This window comes from Homo sapiens, chromosome X (assembly GCF_000001405.40).
Source record: "Homo sapiens chromosome X, GRCh38.p14 Primary Assembly".
Taxonomy (NCBI): domain Eukaryota; kingdom Metazoa; phylum Chordata; class Mammalia; order Primates; family Hominidae; genus Homo; species Homo sapiens.
The window spans coordinates 134,943,877-134,954,656 of NC_000023.11; the positions used below are offsets into that span (position 1 = coordinate 134,943,877).

The 10,780-nt window shown below is 46.8% G+C and overlaps 1 long non-coding RNA gene across 1 annotated transcript; it reads left to right on the forward strand.

Annotated features, from left to right (window-relative positions):
- The first annotated feature begins 5,672 nt into the window (after window positions 1–5,672).
- LINC02243 (long intergenic non-protein coding RNA 2243) lies at window positions 5,673–9,506 on the forward strand. Its single transcript, NR_134925.1, has 3 exons — window positions 5,673–5,779; window positions 6,324–6,659; window positions 8,989–9,506. It is a non-coding gene; the product is annotated as a long intergenic non-protein coding RNA 2243 (long non-coding RNA).
- The last annotated feature ends 1,274 nt before the right edge of the window (window positions 9,507–10,780 follow it).

The following is a 10,780-nucleotide window of genomic DNA, read 5'->3' on the forward strand; positions in this document are numbered from 1 at the left end:
CTTTGATGAATAGGTGAAATAGCTTGTCTTTGAATAGATCTATTTACCCTAAGGTCATCATTCCTGTAAGGACTATCTGCCTGCAGCCTCTGTAAGAGCAGATGGGTCCCTTAATGAGCAGGCTTGCCTTTGGGTACCAGGCAGTGAGGCCAGCTCAGGTCATCCTCCCAACATATTCATTGCTAAAGCAAGGAGGACTTTATTCTTTGTGTACTTTACCCCTGGGTGCTGCTTCGTTTCCTTTCTTCCCTCTGGGTCTGCCGTGGAGGCTGGAAGTAACCACAGGCTCTGTCTGCCTCTCTCCTTTGTCCCAATACCCATTTCTAGGGCTGGCAAGATAAACTACCTACTCCAATAAAGAAGAGGTTATTGAGTGGGTGCTGGTTACAGATGCTGCTTCATATACCTTGGAAACAGGGAGGAACCTTCAGTCCTAGATGTTCCACCCTGATTTCTGATCCTCAATCTACTTTGCTTTCTGTACCTATGAACTTCAAGACCTATGAGTTAGTCCTATGTACTTTTTGATGGTGGGGGACATGTCTCATTCACTGTCGTATCTCCAGAATCTAGAATAGTATCTGCCACAGAGTAGGTGCTCGTGAAGTTTTCATGATTCAATGAAGGGGACCAAATTATGGAGGGCCTTGGTGCCAAATTATTTTATCCTGAAGAAAATGAGGAGTTACTGAAGATTTTTTGAGCAAGGGGAAGTCATGATTGGATCTGCAGTTTTGAAAGATCATTTTGACTGCAGAATGGGCAGTTAGAGGAAGTCTAGAGACCTGTTAGAAGACTGTTCCAATTATCCAAACCAGAGATGATGATCAGTGCTTAAACTAAATTTGTGGCAATGGGGATAAAGAGATGGGAATTGATTCAAATGTAAACCAAAAATAAAATTCTAACCCCCCCCCCCCCCACCGCCCCCAATCATCTGAATGGACTTCTTCCTCGGCCAGGGCACTCTCAAAATATAACCTGAGAGACTGGCTCAGGCCTTGACGGGAAGTGGGGGCCAGACATGCCTTCTTATACTTCTCTGGTATTAACATCAATGCAGTCTGGTAAGAAGCATTTATGGCCAGGCACGGTGGCTCATGCCTGTAATCCCAGCACTTTGGGAGGCTGAGGTGGGCGGATCACCTGATGTCAGTGTTAGGTCTCTGAGCCCAAGCTAAGCCATCATATCCCCAGTGACCTGCACGTATACATCCAGATGGCCTGAATCAACTGAAGATCCACAAAAAAAGTGAAAATAGCCTTAACTGATGACATTCCACCATTGTGATTTATTTCTGCCCCAGCCTAACTGATCAAAGTACTTTGTAATCTCCCCCACCCTTAGGAAGGTTCTTTATAATCTCCCCCACCCTTGAGAATGTACTTTGTGAGATCCGCCCCGTGCCCCCAAAACATTGCTCTTAACTCCACCGCCTATCCCAACACCTATAAGAACCAATGATAATCCCACCACACTTTGCTGACTCTCTTTTCGGACTCAGCCCGCCTGCACCCAGGTGAAATAAACAGCCATGTTGCTCAAACAAAGCCTGTTTGGTTGTCTGTTCACACGGATGCGTGAGACAGTCAGGAGTTCGAGACCAGCCTGGCCAACATGGTGAAACCCCATCTCTACTAAAAACACAAAAAATTAGCTGGGCGTGGTGGTGCATGCCTGTAGTCCCAGCTGCTCAGGAGACTGAAGCAGGAGAATCGTCTGAGCCTGGGAGGCAGAGGTTGCAGTGAGCGGAGATCTGTCACTGCACTCCAGCCTGGGTGACAGAGTGAGACTCTGTCTCAGTAAAAAAAAAAAAGAAGCATTTACAATCTATTCTCTCTGAAGCCTGCTACCTGGAGGCTTCATCTGCATGATAAAACTTTGGTCTCCACAACCTCTTATCACATCTCAGACATTTCCTTTCTGTTGATACCAGGTCTTCAGATAAACTCAACCAATTGTCAACCAGAAAGTTTTAAATCTACCTATAACCTGAAAGCCCTCCTCCCTGCTTTGAGTTGTCCCACCTTTCTGGACCAAACCAATGCACATCTTAAATGTATTTGATTTAAGTCTCGGGCCTCCCTAAAATGTATACAACCAAGCTGCACCCTGAGCACCTTGGGCAAATGTTCTCAGGATCTCCTGGGGGCTGTGTCACAGGCCATGGTCACTCATATTTGGCTCAGAATAAATCTCTTCAAATATTTTAAAGAGGTTGACTCTTTTTGTCGACACAAACAAATATTTATTGTGCACCTAGCAGGTGGCAGGCTTAGTCCTAGATGCTGGGGATGCAGCAGTGAATAACACAAAGTTTTACCCTTATGGAGCTCACATTCTAGGGGCGGAAGGAAGAAAAATAAACAGCAATTTCATATATTACCTTTGTGAGGTCATAGTAAATACTAAGAAAGATAAAGCAGAAGAAGAACGCAGAGATCAAGTAGGGTAGATGTCAGGCCTCAGAGTCCAGGCTAAGCCATCATATCCCCTGTGACCTGCACGTATACATCCAGATGGCCTGAAGTAACTGAAGAATCACAAAAGAAGTGAAAATGGCCTGTTCCTGCCTTAACTGATGACATTACCTTGTGAAATTCCTTCTCCTGGCTCATCCTGGCTCAAAAGCTCCCCCACTGAGCACCTTGTGTTCCCCGCCCCTGCTCGCCAGAGAACAACCCCCTTTGACTGTAATTTTCCTTTACCTACCCAAATCCTATAAAACAGTCCTACCCCTATCTCCCTTCGCTGACTCTCTTTTCGGACTCAGCCCTTCTGCACCCAGGTGAAATAAACAGCTTTATTGCTCACACAAAGCCTGTTTGGTGGTCTCTTCACATGGATGCGAGTGAAAGTAGAGACATGCCATTTATGATATGGTGTTCTGTGAAGCAGTGGAGAAAAGACTGAAGGAAGTGAGGAAGCCGCAAGAAAACCTGGGGAGCCTGTGGTGGTTCACGCCTGTAATCCTAGCTTCTCAGGAGGCTGAGGTGGGAGGATTACTTGAGCTCTGGAGTTTGAGACCAGCCTGGGCAACATAGTGAGACCCTGTCTCTACAAAAATAAAAAATTAGCCGGGTGTGATGGCACATGCCTGTAATCCCAGCTATTTGGGAGGCTGAGGCAGGAGGATTGCTTGAGCCTAGAAGGTTGTGGCTGCAATGGGCCATGATCTGGCCACTGCGTTCCAGCCTGGGGACAGAGTGAGACCCTGTATTAGTCAGTTTTCACACTGCTATACCCAAGACTAGATAATTTATAAAGAAAAGAGGTTTGACTCACAGTTCAGCATGGCTGGGGAGGCCTCAGGAAACTTAAAATCATGGTGGAAGGCAGAGGGGAAGCAAGGCACCTTCTTCACAAGGCAGCAGGAAGGAGAAGTGCTGAGTGAAGGGGGAAGAGCCCCTTATAAAACCATCAGATCTCGTGAGACTCACTCACTATCACAAGAACAGCATGGGGGAAACCACTCCCATGATCCAATTACCTCCACCTGGTCTCTCCTTTGGCATGTGGGGATTATGAGGATTACAATTCAAGATGAGATTTGGGTGGAGACACAAAACCTAACCATATCAGACCCTGTCTCTAAAAAATAAAAATTTAAAAAAAAGAAAAGAGGCCGGCGCGGTGGCTCACGCCTGTAGTCCCAGCACTTTGGGAGGCCGAGGCGGGCAGATCACGAGGTCAGGAGATCGAGATCATCCTGGCTAACATGGTGAAACCCTGTCTCTACTAAAAATACAAAAAATTAGCCGGGCATCGTGGCGGGCACCTGTAGTCCCAGCTACTCGGGAGGCTGAGGCAGGAGAATGGCATGAACCCGGGAGGCGAAGCTTGCAGTGAGCCAAGATCGTGCCACTGCACTCCAGCCTGGGCTACAAAATGAGACTGTGTCTCAAATAAAAAAAAAAAGAAAAAAGAAAAAAAAGAAAGTTTGGGGGAAGAGCATTCCAAGCAGAGGGAATAGTAATTGCAAAGGCCCTGAAGTGTATAAAAGCTATTTAGAAGTTCAATGTGCCATTCAATAATGAGAAGCTGACCTCAGGTGGGTTGGTTGGTTCTATAATCTGAGCCCAAAAAGCAAGGACCACTTTCTCTTTCTTTCTTGCTTTCTTCCTTCCGTCCTTTCTTTTTTTTTTTCTTTTTTTTTTTGACAGAGTCTTACTCTGTTGCCCAGGCTGGAGTGCAATGGCACTATCTCAGCTCACTGCAACCTCCGTCTCCTGGGTTCAAACAATTCTCCTGCCTCAGCCTCCCAAGTAGCTGGGATTACAGGTGTCCGCCACCATGCCCAGCTAAGTTTTTGTAATTTTAGTAAAGATGGGGTTTTGCCATGTTGCCCAGGCTGGTCTCGAACTCCCGACCTCACGTGATCGACCCGACTCAGCCTCCCAAAGTGCTGGGATTATAGGTGTGAGCCACCACACCTGGCTGCAAGGACCACTTTCTAGGCAAGAAAACCAATAAAAGAAGAAATTCTGAGAAGACAACACTGGCTAAGTAGGGAAGGCTCTGTTACCAGAAGGCTCTATTGTAGAAGGGCCCAGATGCCAGAAAATGGCCCTGAGCCAGGGAGCCAATGTCACTCTGGAAACAGGTCAGTAGTGTGAAGGGAGAGGCTCTTTCAGATGTCCCTGGCATGAATATTGTGGCAAGCAGAATAATGGAGCCCCAAAGATACCCATTTTGTAACTCCCAGCATCTGTGAATATGTTACATGGCAAGGAGGTGTAAGCTAAAAGAATCCAAAGTCCCTCCACCGACTGAAGGGACTCCTTCTTGGCCAAGGAGACCTCTCACAAAAACCTTAAAGACTGAATTCCTGGCCATGACAAGAAGTGAGATTGAACGTGCCTCATTATACCCCCACCCCTTTGGAGCTTAGGCACAACTGACCAGCATTAAGGTTAAAATAGAGATCATAACACTGACAAAACAGACTCTTTATGACTAAGATACCCAATTATAAACAAGACCTAAGGCTATGCAAGTCAAAGGTTAAATTGCAGTTGCCAGTCATTGATCTTGTGACATAGCATCCTTATCTTAAAACATTCCTTTCTGTTGACTCCCAAGTTTTAGACAGAGCTTTACTCCTTTAACCAACTGCAAGTTAAAGAATCTCGGAGGCCACCTATGACCTGTAAACCCCCACTTCAAAATATCCAGCTTTTTTTGGCCAAACCAATGTATAAACTCTATGTACTGATTTATGACTTTGCCTGTAACTTCTACTTCCCTGAAATATATGAAACAGAGTTGTGACCTAACTGCCTCATGACCACTTACTCAAGGCTTCTTGGATTTGTGTTTCTTCCTGGGCCCCAATCACTCATGTTGGCTTAGAATAAGTCTCTTTAAAATATTTTAGAGTTTGTTTTTTTGTTAACTGAAGAATTAAGTTTGTAGGTGGAATTAAGGTTGCTGATCAGCTGACTTTGAGATGGAGCGATTATCCTGGATTATCCAGGTAGGCCCAATATAATCATAAGGATCCTTATAAATAAACAAAGGAGGCAGGGAAATTTGTGTCAGAGTGATTTGATATGAGAAACGCTCAACCTATGCCTTTGAAGATAGAGAAAGTGGGTCAGTCATGAGTCATGTGGTGACCTCTAGAAGCTAGACAAAGCCAGGAAACGGATTCTCTTCTGCAGCCTCCACAAGGGAATGAAGGCTGGCATCTAAACTCAATCAGCAAAATAAATTCAATAAGGAAGATTTGAAGATCAAAGACCTTCCTCTCTCTGGCTTCACATTTCTCATCACTAGGTCAGTGATGTTCAAATCATTTTTAGGTGATAGTTTTATGTGTCAACTGACTGGGCCATGGAGTCAAGAGGGTTTGGTCAAGCATTATTCTAGGTGTGTCTGTAAAGGTAGGTAGGTGTGTGTGTGTGTGTGTGTGTGTGTGTGTGTGTTTTAATATAGAGATAGGGTCTTGCTCTTGCTCTGTTGCCTAGACTGGAGTGCTGTAGCATGACTATAGCTTACTGCAGCCTCAGCCTCCCAGGCGCAAGCAATCCTCCCATTCCAGCCTCCCAAGTATCTAGAACGACAGGTGCATGCCAACACCTCTGGCTAATTTATTTTAATTTTTTTTTTGTAGAGACAGGGTCTTGCTCTGTTGCTCAGGCTGGTCTCGAATTCCTGGGCTCAAGTGATCCTCCTGCCTCAGCCTCACATAGCCCTGGGATTACAGGTGTGAACCACTGCACCCAGCCTGTAGGGTGTCCCTGCATGAGAATAATATCTAAATCAGTAGGCTGAGTAAAGCAGATTGCCCTTCCTAATATGAGTGGGCCTCATCCAACAGTTGAAAGCCTGAAAGAACAAAAAAGCTGACCCTTCCCTGAGTAAGAGAGAATTCTTCCTGCGTGATGATCTTCAATCTGGGACATTGACTTTTTTTCTGCCTTTGGCCTGAAACATTGGCTCTCCCTGGGTCTCGAGCCTGCGGGCCTTTGGACTGGAACTAAATTATCAGCTCTCCTGGGCCTCCAGGTTGTCTATTCACCCTGCAGATCTTTCAACTTGCCAGACCCCATAATTATGTGAACCAATTCATTATAAAAATAAATCTCGATTGCTGGCAAGATGGCCGAACAGGAACAGCTCCGGCCTGTAGCTCCCAGCGAGATCGACATAGAAGGTGGGTGATTTCTGCATTTCCAACTGAGGTACCTGGTTCATCTCATTGGGACTGGTTGGACAGTGGGTGCAGCCCACGGAGGGCGAGCCGAAACAGGGTGGGGCATTGCCTCACCCGGGGAAGTGTAAGGGGTGGGGGAATTTTCACCCCTACCCAAGGGAAGCCATGAGAAACTGAGCCTGAGGAACTCCAGCACAGATACTGCGCTTGTCCCATAGTCTTCACAACCCACACACCAGGAGAATCCCTCCGGTGCCCACCCCACCAGGGCCTTGGGTTTCAAGCACAAAACTGGGTGGCCATTTGGGCAGACACCCAACTAGCTGCAGGAGTTCTTTTTTTTTTTTTTTTCTTGAGATGGAGTCTCACTCTGTCGCCCAAGCTGGATTGCAGTGGCGCAATCTCGGTTCACTGCAAGCTCCACCTCCCGGGTTCACGCCATTCTCCTGCCTCAGCCTCCCGAGTAGGTGGAACTACAGGTGCCCACCACCATGCCCGGCTAATTTTTTGTATTTTTAGTACAGATGGGGTTTCACCGTGTTAGCCAGGATGGTCTCGATCTCCTGACCTTGCGATCTGCCCGCCTTGGCCTCCCAAAGTGCTGGGATTACAGGTGTAAGCCACCGCACCCGGCCTGCAGGAGCTCTTTTTTTTTCCATACCCCAGTGGCGCCTGGAACACCAGTGAGACAGAACCATTCACTCCCCTGGAAAAGGGGTGCAGAAGCCAGGGAGCCAAGTGGTCTGGCTGAGCGGGTCCCACCCCCATGGAGCCCAGCAAACTAAGATCCACTGGCTTGAAATTCTCGCTGCCAGTACAGCAGCAGTCTGAGAGCGACCTGGGATGCTGGAGTTTGGTGGGGGGAAGGGCGTCCGCCATTGCTGAGGCTTGAGTAGACCGGTTTTACACTCACAGTGTAAACAAAGCCACTGGGAAGTTCGAACTGGGTGGAGCCCACTGCAGTTTAGCAAGGCTGCAGTGGTCAGACTGCCAGATTTCTCTTCTCTGGGTGGGGCATCTCTGAAAAAAAAGGCAGTAGCCCCAGTCAGGGACTTACAGATAAAACTCCCATCTTCCTGGGACAGAGCACCTAGGGAAAGGGGTGGCTGTGGGCGAAGCTTCAGCAGACTTAAAGGTCACTGCCTGACAGCTCTGAAAGAGAGCAGCAGACTTCCCAGCACAGCATTCAAGCTCTGCTAAGGGTCAGACTGCCCCCTCAAGTGGGTCCCAAATGGAACCAACCCAAATGCCCATCAATGATAGACTGGATAAAGAAAATGTGGCACATATACACCATAGAATACTATGCAACCATAAAAAAGGATGAGTTCATGTTCTTTGCAGGGACATGGATGAAGCTGGCAACTATCATTCTCAGCAAACTATCACAAGAACAGAAAACCAAACACTGCATGTTCTTACTCATAAGTGGGAGTTGAACAATGAGAACACGTGGAAACAGGGGGGGGAACATCATACACTGGGGCCTCTCGGGGGGTGGGGAGCTAGGGGAGGGATAACATTAGGAGAAATACCTAATGGAGGTGACGGGTTGATGGGTGCAGCAAACCACCATGGCATGTGTATACCTATGTAACAAAACTGCACGTTCTGCACACGTACCCCAGAACTTAAAGTATAATAAAAAAGAAAGAAAGAGAAAAAAGAAATGATTGATGGTGTTTTTCAGAGGACCCCAGTCCCATTATCTGCCTTGGAAATGGGACTGGGGTCCTTTGAAAAACACCTTTTATCATTTCTTACGTTTTTTTTTTTACACAATTAATACCATACCACTGCAGAAAATGTGTATCAGTAAAAAGGAAATAAAACCACTGGCATTTCTACCACCCAGAGAAAAAAATAATAATAAATCTCTTTTGGCCAGGCTCGGTGGCTCACACCTGTAATCCCAGTACTTTGGGAGGCTGAGGCAGGTGGATCACTTGAGGTCACGAGTTCGAGACCAGCCTGGGCAACATGGCAAAACCCTGTGTCCACTAAAAATACAAAAATTAGCCGGGCACGATGTTGTATGCCTGTAGTCCCAGCTACTCGGGAGGCTGAGGTAGAAGGGTCACTTGTGCCTGGGGAGTGGAGGTTGCAGTGAGCCGAGATCGTGCCACTGCCCTCCAGTCTGGATGACAGAGTGAGACTCTGTCTGCCTCCCCTAACAAAAAAAATTTTGAACAAATGTAAGTGCATTCTTCCAAGGACAATTCCTCTTTGGAGAGTTGGTGGACCAGAAGATGTTGTGAAATGTGAGCTCGCTGGATGTTGAGTTTTCCAGGTGCTTAAGTCCTCACTGTGCTGCCCTTGTGACCTTCAGGCCTAGGTCATCAAGATGCACAGCACAGGACAGAAGCCCCTCTAGTCCTGCACCTGGTGACATGGAACTGCTGTGCTGGTCCACACAGACACAGCCTCCAACCAAGCCTGGCTCCTACCCATCACAGTTCTGTAGGCTGCCCATTTGCAGAAGGCCTTCCATCTGACACTCCTCCTCGCCTGCTTGTTCTCCAGCCATGTTGTGGCCAATTTGCCATGAGGAGGTTGCAGTGGCCAAGACTGTTGGAAACTGTGCGGTGTAGCTGGGAGAGAAAGGACACACTCTAAATGTTCTTACTGCCTGTGACGATGCAGCTACAGCGATGTACTAGCTGCTCACAAGCCTGTTCCTTCTTCCATTGTAGGGCATGAAGAATTCCCTTATCACTGGGTAAGAAGGGGGAACAGAAGTTTTTCTCATGCCTAATTTTGCGTTTTCAGTAAGGTCTTTTTCAGCTTGTCCAGGAGAAACTGGAAAAAAAAAGATACTTGAAATAAACTGAAGGACATTTAAACAAAGAAACACTTGAAATAAATTGAAAAGAATTTTTTTTTTCTTTTTTAACATTAACATATTTTGCAGGAAGAAAAAATATAAAGGACACTAGGGGCAAATAAATTTCTGTGTTTACAATAGCAAAGACCTGGAACCAACCCAAATGCCCATCAATGATAGGCTGGATAAAGCAAATGTGGCACATGTACACCATGGAATACTATGCAGCCATAAAAAGGAATGAGATCATGTCCTTTGCAGGGACGTGGATGGAGCTGAAAGCCATCATCCTGAGCAAACTAATGCAGGAACAGAAAACCAAACACTGCATGTTCTCGCTTATAAATGGAAGCTGAACAGTAAGAACACATGGACACAAGGAAGGGAACAACACACACTGGGGCCTGCTGGGGTGGCAGGGGGAGGGAGAGCATCAGGATAAATAGCTAATGCATGTGGGACTTAATACCTAGGTGATGGGTTGATAGGTGCAGCAAACCACCAAGACACACGTTTACCTATGTAACAAACCTGCATGCCCTGCACATGTATCCCAGAACTTAAAAAATATGTGTGTGTGTGTGTGTGTGTGTGTGTGTGTTTAAATGGAAAACCATCAACCAAGAGAGAGCAGTATCCACTCGCAGATTCGGATCCCAGAGTCCTGAGGCCTTACATGTCTGGAATCAATGCATTCTCAACTGGTCCTGTAGTAAGATGCTCATGGGGTTTGTCTTCAAACTCACTGTTAGAGGACTTTTTAAATCACAGGCTTAGCAAACCGGCCAAATTACTGCCACTCTTCTAGGTGGGAACTCTCAGCTGTTGCTGAAGGCCCCAGATGTTCCTGTGCTACTCATTCAGATTCCTCACGGTCACTTACACTCCTTCCTTTTTTGACTAGCAGGAAACAGCAGGATGGGCCAGATTCTCACTTGCCTATCTATCGCTCTTGGATGATTCTTCTCAATTGTGATGCTTCTGTGGCACATTGACCATCTGTACCTCTAGAACCTACACAAGGGATTGCTTCTTCTTCTCCTTCTCCTTCTCCTTCTTCTTCTTTTTTTTTCCTGAGAGGGAGTCTCGCATTGTCGCCCAGGCTGGAGTGCAGTGGCAGTCTCGGCTCACTGCAACCTCCAACTCCCTGGTTCAAGTGATTCTCCTGCCTCAGCCTCCTGAGTAGCTGGGATTACAGGCATGCACTACCATGCCCAGCTAATTCTTGTATTTTTAGTAGAGATGGGGTTTCACCATGTTGGCCAGGATGGTCTCGATCTCCTGACCTCATGATCTG